The sequence below is a fragment of the Homo sapiens genome, chromosome 19, assembly GCF_000001405.40.
Source record: "Homo sapiens chromosome 19, GRCh38.p14 Primary Assembly".
NCBI classification, from domain to species: Eukaryota; Metazoa; Chordata; class Mammalia; order Primates; family Hominidae; genus Homo; species Homo sapiens.
In genome coordinates this window covers 5202465-5220674 of record NC_000019.10, presented here as the reverse complement: position 1 = coordinate 5220674, position 18210 = coordinate 5202465, and the positions used below count along the sequence as shown (strand labels likewise).

General features: G+C 53.6%; 1 protein-coding gene across 35 annotated transcripts in view; it reads left to right on the top strand.

The window, feature by feature from the left end:
• PTPRS (protein tyrosine phosphatase receptor type S) overlaps window positions 1-15167 on the top strand; it is a 135305-nt gene extending 120138 nt beyond the window's left edge. For 15 of the 35 annotated variants that reach the window (XM_047439162.1, NM_001394011.1, XM_047439155.1 and 12 more), the window contains 18 exons: window positions 322-415; window positions 521-736; window positions 1208-1365; window positions 1877-1888; window positions 2143-2255; window positions 3908-3955; window positions 5080-5177; window positions 5263-5386; window positions 5939-6114; window positions 6195-6314; window positions 8184-8338; window positions 8425-8710; window positions 8907-9085; window positions 9870-9996; window positions 10081-10206; window positions 12284-12438; window positions 12618-12753; window positions 13833-15167. In XM_047439162.1, the coding sequence (XP_047295118.1) occupies window positions 322-415; window positions 521-736; window positions 1208-1365; window positions 1877-1888; window positions 2143-2255; window positions 3908-3955; window positions 5080-5177; window positions 5263-5386; window positions 5939-6114; window positions 6195-6314; window positions 8184-8338; window positions 8425-8710; window positions 8907-9085; window positions 9870-9996; window positions 10081-10206; window positions 12284-12438; window positions 12618-12753; window positions 13833-13901 (2392 nt within the window). In that variant the 3' untranslated portion in view covers window positions 13902-15167. The remainder of the gene's footprint in view (window positions 1-321; window positions 416-520; window positions 737-1207; window positions 1366-1876; window positions 1889-2142; window positions 2256-3907; window positions 3956-5079; window positions 5178-5262; window positions 5387-5938; window positions 6115-6194; window positions 6315-8183; window positions 8339-8424; window positions 8711-8906; window positions 9086-9869; window positions 9997-10080; window positions 10207-12283; window positions 12439-12617; window positions 12754-13832) is intronic. The other 20 variants (XM_047439166.1, NM_001394013.1, XM_005259610.2 and 17 more) reach the window with 3 other exon arrangements.

Genomic DNA, 18210 nt, shown 5'->3' with positions numbered 1-18210 from the left:
AGCACTCTGCCTCAGAGGCAGAGAAGATTTAAGGGCTACAAGGTTATGTGGGCATTGAAGCTGGAGCTTTGAAGGATGTATAGGAGTTTAACAATGAGCATTACATGAAGTAAGCCTTCTACGCAGAAAGTACAGCATCATCCAAGGCCTGGAGGCCTGAGTCAGCAACTGTGGCGTTTGTGGATGGGGCATAGGGGAATAGGCTCATTGTATGAACAGAAGGGAAGACTCAGAGAAACGGCTTCCCCCGTTTGCCCCCATGAAGCATCCCTTGGTCATCCCTATCGACAGCCCCTCTGACTCTTTCCCATCTCCCTACAGGAGCTATTTCATTGTGATGGTGCCACTGCGCAAGTCTCGTGGAGGCCAATTCCTGACCCCGCTGGGTAGCCCAGAGGACATGGATCTGGAAGAGGTGAGGGCCTGGGGCCCAACCCGCAGGGCCCAGATGCATTCCAGTTTTCACGTGCTCTGTTGCTCCCAGCTGAGCTCTGAGCCACCCATGACTCTGTTCCCGCAGCTCATCCAGGACATCTCACGGCTACAGAGGCGCAGCCTGCGGCACTCGCGTCAGCTGGAGGTGCCCCGGCCCTATATTGCAGCTCGCTTCTCTGTGCTGCCACCCACGTTCCATCCCGGCGACCAGAAGCAGTATGGCGGCTTCGATAACCGGGGCCTGGAGCCCGGCCACCGCTATGTCCTCTTCGTGCTTGCCGTGCTTCAGAAGAGCGAGCCTGTAAGTCCTGAATGGTGTCCGCCCACATCCAGACACACCTCTGAATGAGGCAGACCCCATTCCCCAGGGCCCTGACCTCTGTGGTCAGTCACAGGCAGCTCCCTGTGGTCAGAGCTGGGCAGAGGGGAAGACTTGGGAGCGGAGGGATCCTGAAACGAAGGTTTCTTAGAGGAAGAGACCTTGGAGCTGGGGCGTTGAGGGGTGAGTAGGAGTTCAACAAAGAAAAAGCATCCCAGGATTTGCATGTGCAAAGGTCTGGAGGTACAGAAAGGAGAGTGGCTGGAGCAGAGAAGGGAATGGGGAGAGCAAAGATTGGCAGGGACCAGGTCACATAGGCCACCAGGGTCAAGGTTCTAGGAATATAGGAGGATCTAGAGCGGGGGAGAAACGTAGGTTCATGTTTGAGAAAGACCCATCTGGCCACTACAAGGAGGGTGGACACTGATGGAGACCCCCCTCCTTTCCCTGCAGACCTTTGCAGCCAGTCCCTTCTCAGACCCCTTCCAGCTGGATAACCCGGACCCCCAGCCCATCGTGGATGGCGAGGAGGGGCTTATCTGGGTGATCGGGCCTGTGCTGGCCGTGGTCTTCATAATCTGCATTGTCATTGCTATCCTGCTCTACAAGAAGTAAGCCCCATGTCCTCCCCGACTTGACTTGACAGCAGGGAGGGCTTCCTGGAAAAGGAGGGAGGAGTTGTCTCAGAGAATCATCACTAAAGGTCTCTGTTGTACACATGGGGAAACCGAAGTTCAGAGAGGTTAAGCCACTTGATCAAGGTCACACAGCATGGGAATGGCAGAGCTAGGGCTCAAAGCAGGCCAGTGGCTTGGCTTCTCCTCTTAACCCCTATCTTCAACTCAGCAAGATTTGGGGTAGAGGCTGCCTGTGTCCAGTTCAATGAGGATAGCAATTGTAGTGGCCCCATGGGGCACATCCCAGGGCTGAGATAAGCCTCCTTGTGGTGTCGATAGGCAGGGGGACAAACAGGAAATATGAGCACCATTTTCCAGAGGAGACCAAAGCTCACAGAGGTTAAGGAAGGCACTGAGAGTCACAGAACAAGCCCTTGATGGCCGGCACACCCTCACCTTTCTTCTTTTTTTCCCCCTTCTCACCTGTGTCTGCTTTCGGGAACAGCAAACCCGACAGGTAAGAACCAGCCCTCCCCCGTGGAGGCTTCAGGCAAGAGGAAGAGGACAGGGAATGGGCTGATAGTGTGCCCACAGGAGAGGGGATGCCCGGCTGCCCCCACAGCTTGTACACGTAGCTGTACTTGGTCCTGGAAACCCTAGTCATACGGGTCCATGGTCCTTTTCTTACCATGCATTCCTGGGGCCTGAATTGTGTTCACACATGAACATGTGCCACTACTAACTGGACTGTTCCGCTTGCTTCTCCTAAAGTAAACGCAAGGACTCAGAACCCCGCACCAAATGCCTCCTGAACAATGCCGACCTCGCCCCTCACCACCCCAAGGACCCTGTGGAAATGAGACGCATTAACTTCCAGACTCCAGGTATGTACTTATCCCTGGTACCAGGGATGCCACCAACAGGGGAGATAGCTGGGGAGAAGCAGTAGCTGCCACCCTGGGGGCCCCTCATTGGCCCCCTCTGAACTATGCTTGGTGCAGCCACATTCTGGATTCCCAAATACCTCCAACCCTACATGGATCTGGGCTTGGAACTCATAGGTTGGTTCTGCTTACAACCAAGTGAGGCTTTTTTTTTTTTAAAGTTAACATTTAACCAATGGCTGCTGTCCTCTTCAGGAGCCTAAAGACGATGTTTAAAAAATGGAGAAAACACAAATAAACCCCTCATTTCTTTGGGCAGAAAGAGCTATTCTTCTGTTTATGTCTCTGGTTTTAATGTTCCTCGGTGGTGGGAGTTGAGGTTTGCCCTCAGCCATTTTCCACACTCCCTTGGGATATATCCCTAGCAAGGTACAGAAATTATACCTGCCCAATGCCCTGTACCTCTTCCCACCATGGCTGCCAGGGTTCATGCCTCTTTATAGTTCCCTGTAGATTAAAGTCACCTGACAGTCCAGGAGAACTGAATCAAGGCCTTATCCTTGATCATTTTCATGTATGATTCACAAACTCTACCATCTCCTCCCTCTTCATGGGCTCATGCCAGCTGCTTCTAACCAAATAAGGAATTTTTCATTTTACTGATGGCTGCTATTCTCCTTATGGGTTCACAGCCAAGTTACATCTGTCCTTCCAACTGTACCCGGTCTCCACTTCGTATCTCTGAACTGGTTCATATCAACTCTATTTTCCAACCAAATGAAGATTTTAAACATTTGTATTTCACTGATGTCTTTAGTCCTCCTTAAAGCCTCATGCATAGCCTCACATGCCATTCCTGATGTACTTTCTTTTTTTTTGTCTCTGGACTGGCTTGTGTCACTTCTGTTTTCATCCAAATGAGGAGTTTGACCATTAGTATTTAACTGATGGCTGCTGTCCTCATAAAGGGATCATGCAGGGCCTCATGTATCACCCCTCGTGTATTCTCTTCCCTTTCTTTCCTCTGTACTGATTCGTGTTGCTTTGGTTTTTCAGCCAAATGAGAATTTTAAATGTGCATGTAACTGACGGCTGCAGTCTCCTGAAGGGATCATGCAGAGTCTCACAATTCACCGCTAATGTGCTCCCATCTCATTTCTGTCTCTGGACTAGCTGATGTCTGTTGTGTTTCCATCCAAATAAGGATTTTCAACATGTGCATTTAACTGATGGTTGCTGTCCTCCTTGAAGCTCATGGCATGGGCCCATATGTCCTTTCCCTGCTCCCCCAGCTTCTCCTTCACCATCCTGCATCCTCCTTCCTCAGAATGCCCTCTGCTGACCTCAACAGAGGGGACCCAAGGCCAGGCTGGTCTGGGGGAGGGGATCTGTAGACAGAAGAACCTAGCACTTTGGAGTCCTTCCAGAGTGACGGGTCAAGACCAGGATTGACTGGTGTCCAGCCAGAGGGGTACACAGTTAGCAGCTATCGTGAGTCCTCAGGTGGGGGCCCAGGTGGCTGTACATACCCCCCGTTGTCCGCGTTGCTCTGCCCTTTGCATCCGCCAGCCAGTGAGGGGTGGGGGAGGCAGAGGTGGGACCCCCCCCTACCCCCTGCATGTTTTCATTTATTTATTGTTTGCTGTTTGCAGATTCAGGCCTCAGGAGCCCCCTCAGGGAGCCGGGGTTTCACTTTGAAAGTTAGTTCTTGTGTCTGTTTTTGGCTTCCTTTCGCCCCCGCCCCCGTTCATTTCCTCTTTGGTTTCTCCATCGTGTCTCCTGTCTCTGTCCACACGCCCACCCATCACCGGCCTTTGCCCACCTGTCTTGTGCTGGCTCCTGGAAGAGGGCAGGGGGTTGGTCCATTGGGCCCTCAGGTGGCTGTGTGTGACTGCTGTGTGTGTGGTGTGTATGTGTGTGTCAGGGATGTGGGTGAGGCACGTATGTACCCAGGACGTGCCCACAGGACAGGCAGGCCCCTTAGATGTGAGCTCTTGGGGGGCACCCAGGACAGCTAGGGACACATGGAAGTCTCAGAACATTAAATGTTACCAGCTGGTCTGGAAACCACCTGAGAGCTGAACATCCGGTACACAGGTCCCAGGAGAGGTCAGGGTTCTGCAGACCCAGATATCGGGAAGGGAGAACCGAGCCCACACCCAGCACCTTCGGCAGCCATCCTAGGGGGCTTGAAAGGATAAGAGCTCTCAGGCCAGGGCCTTCTTGCACCTGCTCCTGCCCCAAGCAAGCGCAGGGACAGATGGGGACCCCTCACTCCTCTCACGTACACACACACATACTGTTTCCCCTCCCTAGTCTGTCGCCTCTACCTGGAAGCGGATTTCGTGCCTCTGATCCCAGAGGGACAGAAAGGGGTGTCAGTCGCCCACCCAAGGACAGTATTTCCAAAGCACAGCCGGCTGCGTCTGCAATTTAATTTCTGTGCCACACACTTGCTTCTTGGCTCGAGGCACTGGGAGCTTGACATCCTCTGGGGTGACCCTTCTGCCAGCCCCTGCACCCCCAGCTTGGTTGGAAGGAAACAGGATGGGCCAATGCTGTGATCCAGGCCCCTCCAGGGGTGTCAGCCTCTGCACGGAGCAGAGGGCCTCAAACCTGCTGCCTTTAGAGTCCCCTAGGCCTGGGGTCCCAGCCCCTTCATGAGCCACCCTGAGTCTTCCCCTCCTGCCAAGCCCCACCCCGGCCATGCCCTTCTAACCACAGCTCACCCATCGCAGACTCACACGTAGATCACCCCCCTCCCCCGAGTCCCCGGCTGGCCCCCCAAGTGACCAACCCCGGCGGGGTCTGCTCCACCCTGTAGGCATGCTTAGCCACCCGCCAATTCCCATCGCAGACATGGCGGAGCACACGGAGCGGCTCAAGGCCAACGACAGCCTCAAGCTCTCCCAGGAGTATGAGGTGAGCCCACCCCCGCCTCCCACCCTCATCACCTCGGCCTCACAGGCACCTACCCTGACACCCGCGCTCTCCCCTTCCTCTGTAGTCCATCGACCCTGGACAGCAGTTCACATGGGAACATTCCAACCTGGAAGTGAACAAGCCGAAGAACCGCTATGCCAACGTCATCGCCTATGACCACTCCCGTGTCATCCTCCAGCCCATTGAAGGTAGTTCGGAGATCCCGGGTCTTAACCTGCCCTTCCCCACTGCATGGAAAGTGCTAGATCCCATGTCTCCCCTTGGGCCACTGAGGCCTGATTCTGGTCATAGACCTGGTCCAGCTCCAACTGGAGGCCACTGGGCATCTTTAGATATGTATTTAACTGATGGCTGCTCTCTCTAACATGGCTTCATCTGTCCTTCTGCATCAGTTGTGACCAATCAGAGCAGTTTTGCTGCCCAGGGGACATCTGGCAATGTCCAGGGACATCTTTGGTTGTCACAACTTGAAGGGAAGAAATGTTGCTGGCGTGGAGTGGGCGGAGGCCAGGGATGCTGCTCAGCACCCTGCAGTGCCCAGAATGGCCCCGCCACAGAGGGCGATCTGGCCCCAAATGGTGATGGCGCTGAGGGGGAGAAACTGTGAAGTACACGTCCCATGGTCACCTTGGGGACAATCTGGGAGCGGTCAGAGTGAACTTCCAGGAAGTGGTTGGCCACACAGAGCCAAACTAGCAAGACAGCCCCCACAGATCCCTGGCCTCTCGCCCTGGCTGCAGGCATCATGGGCAGTGATTACATCAATGCCAACTACGTGGACGGCTACCGGTGTCAGAACGCGTACATTGCCACGCAGGGGCCGCTGCCTGAGACCTTTGGGGACTTCTGGCGTATGGTGTGGGAGCAGCGGTCGGCGACCATCGTCATGATGACGCGGCTGGAGGAGAAGTCACGGGTGAGCCTTGGACCCCACGGCCCTCAAGCCCCTGCCAGTCAGCCTGTCCCTGCTGACACCTGTTCTCTTGCCCGATACAGATCAAGTGTGATCAGTATTGGCCCAACAGAGGCACGGAGACCTACGGCTTCATCCAGGTCACGTTGCTAGATACCATCGAGCTGGCCACATTCTGCGTCAGGACATTCTCTCTGCACAAGGTGGGGCCCAGGCTGGGGCTGGGGGCTGAGGGTGGAGGAATGTGTTGGAAGGGAGGCAGAGGGCCCCAGCTTCTACCCAGGGAGCTCCCCATGGGACAGAGAGAAAGCGGAGCGTGTCTACCCAGGCTGACTACATTCTCATGGAACCCACTTCCGTGGAGGGGGAAACTGAGGCTCAGAGAGGACACTGCTTGTTTCCACCCACGGCAGGAGAACAAAGCCGGCAGAGCCCAACTCAGCAATGAGCCTGATTTCTTCTTGCCTTTACTCATGCCCCAGGTCCTCTTTGCCCACTTGTCCTCTGGCCTCACCCAGCTTGAGCCTATGATGGGGGCCTCAGCAGGGCCCCAGCCCTGCCTTCAAGGAGTCTCCAGACAGAGATGGACAGATATTGGCAGCCCTGCAAAGTCAGGACTGGGATGGAGAAGATCTTTTAGATATGTATTTAACTGATGGCTGCTGTCCATAGTGCGGTTCCATCTGTTTTTCTCCATCTGTGGTTCTGAATTAGGACAATTCTGCCATCCAGGAGACATTTGTTATTGTCATGATGGGGAGGGGAGGTGCTACTGGCACCGTGATGTATCCCCAACACCCAGCCAGGTCATCTCACCGTCAGGCACCTGCTTGACCTAAGTGCCAGAAAACTGAGTACATGGACAAGAGTGAGAATTCTTGGTTCAATCACACACATTAAGCATATGTTATACATTAAGCATATGTTATATCTCACTCCCTAACCTGGACACAAGCACACAACAGGGACCTAAACAGACAAAACGTTCTGCCCTTGGGGGATTTAACAGTCTAGTAGACAAGACACAGACCACAACTATGAAATGTCAAGAAAGCTTACATGTCAAAGGAGAAAAATAAAGTGGAGGAGAAAAACAGTGTTAGGGACCTGGAAGAGGGTATGATGGGGAGATTTGGGGGGACAGCATTTCAGGTAAGAGGGTGCAGCCTGGGCAGAGGCCCTGGGGCAGGACCGTGCCTGGTCATGCAGGATCCTGTGGGCCTTGGGGAAGACTTTGGCTTTGACCCTGTGGGAGGCAGGAGCCATGGAGGGCTGTGGGCAGAGGAGGTACCAGATCTGACTCAGGTGCCCTCTGGCTGCTGCAGGGAGGACAGACTGGGGGGCTTGGGTGGGAGCCAAGGTCTGCGGCAAAGAGGGTGGTGATAGGTCTAGACCAGATTGGCCTGCATGGAGAACATGGAGCAGGTGGATTGGGATAGACTTTGAAGGCAGAGCCGACAGTCCCGGGTGAGGTGTTGGATGTGAGAGGGGAAGAGTTAAGGGTGACTCCCAAGCTGTGGCCAGAGTGCCCAGAAGGTTGGAGCCACCTTCAGCTAAGACGGGGGAGCAGGTTTGGGGAGAAGGCCAGATACAGTTGGCCACGTTGTGTGTGAGGCGTCCGCAAGACTCTACTTGGAAACCGTCCAGGGCCAGCTAGAGCCCAAGTCAGGCACTTGGGGACATGGTGACTGGGAGGCGCAGACATGGGTGTTTTTTTTTTTGAGATGGAGTTTCACTCTGTCACCCAGGCTGGAGTACAGTGGCGCCATCTCAGCTCACTGCAATCTCCACCTCCCAGGTTCAAGCAATTCTCCTGCCTCAGCCTCCCAAGTAGCTGAGATTACAGGCATGCACCACCATGCCTAGCTAATTTTGTATTTTTAGTTGAGACGAGGTTTCTCCATGTTGGTCAGGCTGGTCTCGAACTCCTGACCTCAGGTGATCCGCCCACCTCGGCCTCCCAAAGTGCTGGGATAACAGGCATGAGCCACCACACCCGGCCACTTGGGCATCTTCAGCACATGGGTGGCAGGTTGAGCCGGAGTGACAGGTGACATCCTTGTGGTCCCCAGAATGGCTCCAGTGAGAAACGCGAGGTCCGCCAGTTCCAGTTTACGGCGTGGCCGGACCATGGCGTGCCCGAATACCCAACGCCCTTCCTGGCTTTCCTGCGGAGAGTCAAGACCTGCAACCCGCCAGATGCCGGCCCCATCGTGGTTCACTGCAGGTACGTCCACCCCACTCTGCCCCATCCGCTTCCCCCCGGTCCCCGCAGCCCAGCAGCCCCTGAACGCCACGTGGCTGTCCCTGCAGTGCCGGTGTGGGCCGCACAGGCTGCTTTATCGTCATCGACGCCATGCTTGAGCGGATCAAGCCAGAGAAGACAGTCGATGTCTATGGCCACGTGACGCTCATGAGGTCCCAGCGCAACTACATGGTGCAGACGGAGGACCAGTACAGCTTCATCCACGAGGCCCTGCTGGAGGCCGTGGGCTGTGGCAACACAGAAGTGCCCGCACGCAGCCTCTATGCCTACATCCAGAAGCTGGCCCAGGTGGAGCCTGGCGAACACGTCACTGGCATGGAACTCGAGTTCAAGGTGCCAGCGGGGTGGAGGCTGCTGTGGGCGGGGTGGGGAGGAGGCCCAAAGAGCCGAAAATCAGGCCCGCCTCGAGCAATGGGGACTAGAAGGTGGTGGCAGGGTGCCCCTACCTACCTATCCACCATTGGTGCTCCAGCTGAAAGCATAGCCTTCCTCATCCTGATGGTGGCCTCTGGCTTCCTCCTCCCCACAGCGGCTGGCTAACTCCAAGGCCCACACGTCACGCTTCATCAGTGCCAATCTGCCTTGTAACAAGTTCAAGAACCGCCTGGTGAACATCATGCCCTATGAGAGCACACGGGTCTGTCTGCAACCCATCCGGGGTGTGGAGGGCTCTGACTACATCAACGCCAGCTTCATTGATGGCTACAGGTAGGTGCCATGCCTTTCCCACCTCAGGGCCCCAGAAGGAGCCCATCTCTACTCTCAAGAGGCCTCCAGTCTTGTGGGAGACAGAGCTGGGGAGATACTGGTAGCCCTGAGCTGTTTAAATACACATCTTTAGATGTATATTTAACTGATGGCTGCTGTCCGTGAATCTTTGGGTGTGTGTTTAACTGATGGCTGCTGTCCATAATGTGATTCCATCTGTTCTATCAGTGGTTCTCAATTGGGGTAATTCTGACACCCTGAGGATATTTCTTATTTTCATGAGTACTACTGGTACTGCCTGGGTGGGGACCAGGCATGCTGCTCAGCATCCTACAGTACACAGAACAGCTTGTCTCAGAGAACAATCCAGCGCCAAATGTCAATAGCACTGAGATTGAGAAATCCTGGCAAAGGAGGGGAGGGTGTTCCTGGCAGAGGGTGCCACATGTGCAAAGGCCCGGGGCTGAGAGCTTGGCCCACGCAAGCAACTGAAAGTAGGGCAGTGGCCCTTGAAGGAGATGGAGGGAAGAAATCAGGAGAGGTTAGTGGATAGTCCCGCAGCTTTGTCAAGGGATTTGAATTTGTCATGAGACTGGTGGTTTCCCCACATGCAAAATGGGATCACCAGGAGGGGAAGTGGTGCACCCAGCAGCCATTCCTGGCAGGCAGTGGGGTGGTAGGTGTAGCTGTCACTGGCTTGGTCCTGACCCTCCCGGGCAGCATCAGGTGAGTACCACGCCGGGTCTCCCTGCCGGCCCTGGGCTCATACCCCCAACGCCTGCAGGCAGCAGAAGGCCTACATCGCGACACAGGGGCCGCTGGCGGAGACCACGGAAGACTTCTGGCGCATGCTGTGGGAGAACAATTCGACGATCGTGGTGATGCTGACCAAGCTGCGGGAGATGGGCCGGGTGAGCTAGGGGCCACAGCAGGGAAGGGCGAGGGCCAGACTGTGGCTCAGACAGCGCTGACCACGGCCGCCATCTCCTCCACAGGAGAAGTGTCACCAGTACTGGCCGGCCGAGCGCTCTGCCCGCTACCAGTACTTTGTGGTAGATCCGATGGCAGAATACAACATGCCTCAGTATATCCTGCGAGAGTTCAAGGTCACAGATGCCCGGGTGAGTGAAGAGACAGACTGGCGGGAGGGGCTGGAGCCTTAGTGATCTGGAAAGGGCTGCCCTGGTTGGTGATGGATACAAAGGCCAAGGGTTAGGCATAAGCATTGGGAATCAGGAGAAGTGTCAGCTGACCAGTTGGCCACTTGCTTCTACTGCCACATAGGTGGAAGAGAGGGTCTTATCTCTGTGCTGACCCTGCAGTGTCTCCACTCACTAGGGAACATGGCCCCAGGGGATGATATTCAAGGAAGTGAATGGGGCTTTCCTCTGGAAGCAGCCACCTGTGGAGGATGATGTTAAAGGGCTGAAAGGGACTTGAGGGATTGAGGGTGAGGGGTGGTAGACGGTGGACAAGGAGAGTCAGATGGTGGGGACTGGCACCGTTGGGTGAGGAGAGATGAGTATGGATGGTGTTGGCTCAATGAAGGACTGCAGTGTCAGGTGGAGGGAGAAAGGCCAGGTATTAGGTGGCAACAGATGAAGACTCATAGTGGAAGGTGGCCCTGTTGGGTGACAAAGGATCAAAGTTAGTGGTGGAAGATCGACGATGGTAGAGAACGCAGTGAGGGGATGATAGAGGATGGGGAATGTTGGCCAAGATGATGCCAAAGGATGGTGAAGGCTGCTGAATGAACAGCAATCACCGGGCATTGTGCTGTGAGCAGTGCAAGATGGTGCCCTTGGAGGGGTGGAATCTGGAATTGGAGAGAAGAACATTCGCATAACAGGATGGAGAATGTCAGTGGAATGTGGTAGTTTGGGTCAGTGAAGGGTGATGCTTTATCAGTGATGGATGGAGGAAGACAGAATTGGAGAAGGGCAAATGTTTGGCCAGCAGGGGGTGGAGAAAATCAATGGGAAATACTAGGACTAAGAAAGGACAGTAAACAATAGTCAATGGTATAAACCAATGGGTGGTACAAGATTGAGGAAGATGGGGTTGGGAAAGGAGATTTTAGAAAATGTAAAACATCAGGGAAAGATGGTACATTGGATGGCAAATGGTGGCAGAGGATAACAATTTTGGATGGCACCATTTTGATGGTGGAGGATGGGATTAGAACAAGGCAGATGATGGGGAATGGAGAATGTCAGTGGAAGATGGTACCCTTGGATGGTGGAGAGTGATGAATTGTTAGTGATGGATGGTGGAAAATGGCACCATTGAGTTGTGAAGGATGGAAGATGGCAGAGAATGATGTGGTTGGATGGCACCACTGGGTGGTAGGAAAGGAGACTGCAAAGAGGAATGGTTGAGTAGTGGGGAATGAAGACAGTCAGTGGAAGATGCCATCACTGAATGGTTAAGGATGAGTTACCAAGAGGGGATGGTGGTGGATGATGGAAGATGATGGTGTTGGGTGGAACTCGGGACGGCAGAAGGTAGTGAGTTACCAGCAGTGGGTGGTAGCAGTGGCACTGTTATTGGATGGTGGAAGATGATGGTGTTGGATGGTGGACGATGAAAGATGATGGCACCATTGGGTTGTAGAAGATGAGTCATCATTGATGAGCTATGGACAGTGATGGAGTTGAGTTGTGCTGTAGGGCCCCGAAATGGCACAGAGTGGAAGATGACAGAGGATCATGGTGAATAGGAGCTGGGAAGGGCAGAGCTGGTTGCACTATGGGATGGCAAAGGATGGAGGATGGAGGTGCTGGATGTCATACAGGAAATGTGGGGAGAGGAACAGCTGGGTGGCAAGAAGTGGTGAGGATGAGGTTGGAGCATCTCTTATGGAAAGCAGTACCATTGGATTGTGAAGGACGGTAAGTTGTCAGGGTAAATGAATGGCAGAGAGTGTACAAAATGGGGGTGAGGGCCGGGCCTGGTGGCTCATGCCTGTAATCCCAGCTAATCGGGAGGCTGAGGCAGGAGAATTACTTGAATCACTGGAGGTGGAGGTTGCAGTGAGCCGAGATCACGCCATTGCACTCCAACCTGGGCGACAAGAGTGAAACTCCATCTCAAAAACAAACAAACAAACAAAAAATGGGGGTGAAGATAGGGAGGATGGAGAAAAACCCCCATGGCCGCTGCTGACCTGATAACAAGATTGGGCTCTCTGCACTCTAGGATGGCCAGTCCCGGACTGTCCGGCAGTTCCAGTTCACAGACTGGCCGGAACAGGGTGTGCCAAAGTCGGGGGAGGGCTTCATCGACTTCATTGGCCAAGTGCATAAGACTAAGGAGCAGTTTGGCCAGGACGGCCCCATCTCTGTCCACTGCAGGTGAGCTCCCTCGAGTGTCCCAGCTTTTGGCCCTGCTGGGGAAACTGAGGCCTGGTGGGGACAGCCCCAAGCTTAGGCTGTCCCATCTGGGCTGTTAGAGTCCTCGGGGAATCGGGTGGTCAGATCAGGGCTCCCCAGCACCTGCCCCTGAATGGCTGTGCTCACTTTACTGCCACCAGTGCCGGCGTGGGCAGGACGGGCGTCTTCATCACGCTTAGCATCGTGCTGGAGCGGATGCGGTATGAAGGCGTGGTGGACATCTTTCAGACGGTGAAGATGCTACGAACCCAGCGGCCGGCCATGGTGCAGACAGAGGTAAAGATGGGACAGGGAGGGGAGGCAGCCTGGCCTCACGCCCCGACTGCCCCTAAGCTCCAGTTTCCTCCTCTGTGAGATGGGTACAGCCACCTGGGACTCTCTGGGTCACTGTGGGTAGACGGTCCACAGACCCCTCCCGCACTGGAAGGGGACCAGTAACCCTTTTAACACAACAGTCAGCTGAAGGTCAAAGGCGAGAAGTGGCCCTTGGAGTGGACAGAGATGGGCTCATTGCAGTCCCCAAGTCACAGCAAGTCTGTGGCTCAGCCTGGACCCTGCCAAGAACCACTGACCCCCAAGTCCAACCAATGTACAGATGGGGAAACTGAGGCCCAGACTCCTAGCTTCAAGGGGAATGTTCCAGTGGAGGGGGTTCTGAACAGCAGCCATGTCTTAAAAGATGAGTAGAGGGGACCCGGCGTGGCAGCTCACACCTGTAATCCCAGCACTTTGGGAGGCTGAGGTGGGAGGATCGCTTGAGCCCATCCTGGGCAACACAGAAAGACCCCATCTCTACAAAAAAAATAGAAATGAGGCTGGGTGTGGTGGCTTATGCCTGTAATCCCAGCACTTTGGGAGGCCAAGGCAGGCAGATCACCCGAGGTCAGGAGTTTGAGACCAGCCTGGCCAACATGGCGAAACCCTGTCTCTACTAAAAATACAAAAATCAGCTGGGCATGGTGGTACACGCCTGTCATCCCAGCTACTTGGGAGGCTCAGGCAGGAGAATCACTTGAACCCAGGAGACAGAGGTTGCAGGGAGCCAAGATGGCGCCACTGCACTCCAGCCTGGGCAACACAGCGAGACTCCGTCTCAAAATAAATAAAAAAGAAAAGATGAATAGGGCCTCCAGGCAGACGGGAGGAGAGGGCGTTCCGGGTGAAGAGCCTGGCTGTGTTAGGCAGAGAGGTGTGGCATAGCTCACTTCATTGTGGGAGGGCCGTGGGGGCCAAAGAGACCTTCTGCAAGAGACACGCACAAGGCTGAGGAGCTTGGCCTGCTCCTGAGGGCGATAGGGAGCCCTGGGAGGCGTTAGAGCAGCGGAGGTACTAACAGGTCACCTCTGCTCCCCCAGGATGAGTACCAGTTCTGTTACCAGGCGGCACTGGAGTACCTCGGAAGCTTTGACCACTATGCAACCTAAAGCCATGGTTCCCCCCAGGCCCGACACCACTGGCCCCGGATGCCTCTGCCCCTCCCGGGCGGACCTCCTGAGGCCTGGACCCCCAGTGGGCAGGGCAGGAGGTGGCAGCGGCAGCAGCTGTGTTTCTGCACCATTTCCGAGGACGACGCAGCCCCTCGAGCCCCCCCACCGGCCCCGGCCGCCCCAGCGACCTCCCTGGCACCGGCCGCCGCCTTCAAATACTTGGCACATTCCTCCTTTCCTTCCAATTCCAAAACCAGATTCCGGGGTGGGGGGTGGGGGGATGGTGAGCAAATAGGAGTGCTCCCCAGAACCAGAGGAGGGTGGGGCACAGACCATAGACGGACCCCTCGTCCTCCCCCAGCGGTGGTAGGGGGACCCGGGGGGCTCCTCCCCGCTCTGCAGCCTGGGGACACTGGGCTGGGACCAGAATCCAGCTTTCTTTTAAAACTCTCAGTGTAACTGTATCCCGTGACATTTCATTTTTTTTAAATAGTGTATTTTTTTTTCCATTTTTTTTTTTAAGAGAAACAAACAAAAGACTCGCCAGTCAATGACTTTCAAAGAGAACTAACTTTGGCTTATTCATATTCTGTTCAAAGACAGTCTATTTTTTCACTGTAGAAAGCGTCCTTGTGTGATAGTTACGTTCGCAAACGCGCACGCCAGGCCCATGGCTGTACCTTGGCTTTTTTTTTTTTTTTTTTTTTTTTAATTTTTCCTACCATCAGAAAGTGTGCTTTGCTCACAGAAGAATGGGATGTCCTTTTTTCTTTCTTGGCTTTTTTTTTCCCCCTTTTTGTTTCATTTTTATAAATTAAATTTTCAGACATATCAAATACAGTTCTGAGGGTAAGGTCATGGGGGAGCTCGGACCCAGTGGCGTTGGGTGCGGTTGAGGGGGACGCTGCTGTAAGAGGAGAGAGATGACAGTGGTCCTCCTCTGAGAGCCTGAGCTGTCTCCCCGTCTCCCGCCCCCAAGGAGACAGAGAGGATCCTACTTCTTCGGGGACAGTGGCTGTATGGCTGTGCTGCCCCACATCAGGGACCCTTTCCCCCTGGGACTGTGGGGCAGTTTGGGAGCAAAACCAGAAGGACAGGCCCCCCTCTACCCGCCTACCCTGAGCAAGCGAGTTGTTCCTCTTTGTACAAGGGCAGGTCTGCGGTTACTTTCAACACTGTTTATTCCAGCGGAAGCAGCCGGGTGGTTTTCCCACCCCCGTGTATGTAGATATATCGACTTTGTATTAAAGGAAGATCGTCTGACCCCGGCCCATTGTGGAGTCTTTGTTGCGCCCCTGCCTGTCCAGTTTCATCCCTGGGGTGGAGGTCGGTGGGGTCCTGGAGAGCTGATCTCGTTTCCTTGTGTGAACAGTCAGAGGAGGAGTTGGCCCAGAGAGGTGGTGGTGCTTGTCCAAGACCACACACCGCTGAGGCGGGTGGATCACAAGGTCAGGAGTTTGAGACCAGCCTGGCCAACATGGTGAAACCCAGCCTGGCCAACATGGTGAAACTCAACTCTACTAAAAATACAAAAATTAGCCAGGCGCAGTGGCGGGCGCCTGTAATCCCAGTTACTCAGGAGGCTGAGGCAGGAGAATCGCTTGAACCCAGGAGTTAGAGGTTGCAGTGAGCTGAGATCATGCCATTGCACTCCAACCTGGGTGACAGAGTAAGACTGTCTCAAAAAAAAAAAAAAAAAAAAAACTCAAAACACCGATGAAGTGGCCAGGCCAAGATTTGAACCCAAGCCCTGGTCCTGTAGGGGCTGCCTCGTGTTCTCATTCTAATAAGTGACCATGACTGAGAATTCACCATGGGCCAGACACTCTGAGATAGAAGTTACCAGCCCCTTGGCCAGGCGCGGTGGCTCACGCCTGTAATCCCAACACGTTGGGAGGCCGAGGCAGATGGATCACCTGAGATCGGGAGTTCGAGACCAGCCTAGCCGACATGGCAAAACCCTGTCTCTGCTAAAAACACAAAAATTAGCCAAGCATGGTGGCACCTGCCTGTAATCTCAGCTACTCAGGAGGCTGGAGCAGGAGAATCACTTGAACCCAGGAGGCGGAGGTTGCAGTGAGCTGAGATCATGCCATTGCACTCCAGCCTGGGCGACAGAATGAGACTCCCATCTCCAAAAAAAAAAAAAAAAAAAAAAAAATCCCCATTTACATATTAGGAAACTGAGGCTCAGGGAGGGGCACACAATGAGTTTGAGGTGGAGCTGGGATTCGTACCCCAGCCCATCTCACCCGCAGCCCTGAGCATCACACGGTGCTGCCTTCTCGAAGTGCCCTGGGGAAGAACTGAGTCCGTGGAGGGAAGCAACAGGTTGGGGACACTCTGCTCCACCCCTAGGCCACTCAATGAGCAGATCCATGCACTGAGCCAGAATCACATCCCTGGGGATGGAGAGTGAGCCATTTTGTATCTATACCCTTGCCTGAGTCACTTCTTGCTTGGGCATAGAAGCCACCCACAGGAGCCAGAGATAGGATGAAAGAGCCCCCTATGACCTCAGGGAAGTTCCAGGAATGAGAAGGGGTGATCTTAGTGACACCAGGGACCCAGCTCAGGGAAGAATAGGACTATGTCTCTTAGAAACCAACAGATCAAGGCCGGGCGCAGTGGCTCACGCCTATAATCCCAGCACTTTGGGAGGCTGAGGCGGGCAGATCACGAGGTCAGGAGATGGAGACCATCCTGGCCAACATGGTGAAACACCGTCTCTACTAAAAGTACAAAAAACTAGCCGGGCATGGTGGCAGGAGCCTGTATTCTCAGCTACTTGGGAGGCTGAGGCAGGAGAATCCCTTGAACCTGGGAGGCAGAGGTTGCAGTGAGCCAAGACCATACCACTGTACTCCAGCCTGGGTGACAGAGCAAGACTCCGTCTCAAAAAAAAAAAAAAAAAAAAAAAAAAAGAAGCAACAGATCAGGTAGTCAAAAAAATACAGATGTGACTAACATCATTAATAAGCTTGGCCAAAAATATTTAACAAACCCTATTATCCCCTCCTACTCTAACATTCTCAAACGCACATGGAACATTTGTGAAAATTAACAGAGATCGGCTGGGTGCAGTGGCTCACGCCTGTAATCTTAGCACTTTGGGAGGCCGAGGCAGGAGGATTACCTGAAGTCAGGAGTTCAAGACCAGCTTGGCCAACATGGTGAAACCCCCCGTCTCTACTAAAAATAAAAAACATTAGCTGGGTATGGTGGCACACGCTTGTAATCCCAGCTACTCAGTGGGCTGAGGCAGGAGAATCGCTTGAACCCAGGAGGAAGGAGGTTGCGGTGAGCTGAGATCGCGCCTCTACACCCCAGCCCAGGTGACAGAGCAAGACTTCATCTCAAAAAAACAAACAAAAAATATTAACAGAGATCTTCACAAATTCCAAGAAACAAATATTAGATGAGGTATCCTGATCTTGGCTCTGAAGAGTAATTAGCCTCCCCTGGAAGGGGGAGGGAAATTTTAAAATACTTTTTTTGGCGGGGAGGTGGGTGGGGGACAGAGTCTCGCTCTGTTGCCCAGGCTGGAGTGGCTGAATCTCAGCTCACTGCAACCTCCATCTCCCAGGTTCAAGCGATTCTCCTGCCTCAGCCTCCTGAGTATGTAGCACTACAGGCGCCCACCACCACACCCAGCTAATTTTTTTTTTTTTTTGTATTTTTAGTAGAGACAGGGTTACAGGGTTTCACCATGTTGGCCAGGCTGGTCTCAGACTCCTGACCTCAAGTAATTCGCCCACCTCGGCCTCCCACCGAAGTGTTGGAATTACAGGTGTTAGCCACCGTGCCCAGCCTTAAAACACATTTCTAAATAAGGTATGTGTTAAATCAATGTAATCCGGGCGCAGTGACTCATGCCTATCATCCCAGCACTTTGGGGTGAACATAGGGAAACACTGCCTCTGAAAAAAAAAAAATCAATGTGAAAGTTACAAAGTGTTTCAAATTGAACAATTCAAATAGTACATCATGAAATGCATAACCTGCGGGATGCAGCCAATGGTGTGCTCAGAGAAAAATTCATAGCCTTGAACACATTTACCCTTTTTTTATTTTGAGGTAGGAGGGTCTCACTTTGTTGCTTAGGCTGGTCTTGAACTCCTGGCTTTAAACAATCTTACTACCTCAGCCTCCCAAAGTGCTGGGATTACCGGCACCAGCCACTGTGCCTGGCCTCTTTAACACACTTATAAGAAAAGAAATTTTGAAAATAAGTCAACTTTAAAAAGTTCATGAACCAAGTTTTCAATCAAATCACTAGAAAATAAACTCAAATAGAAAAAAAAAC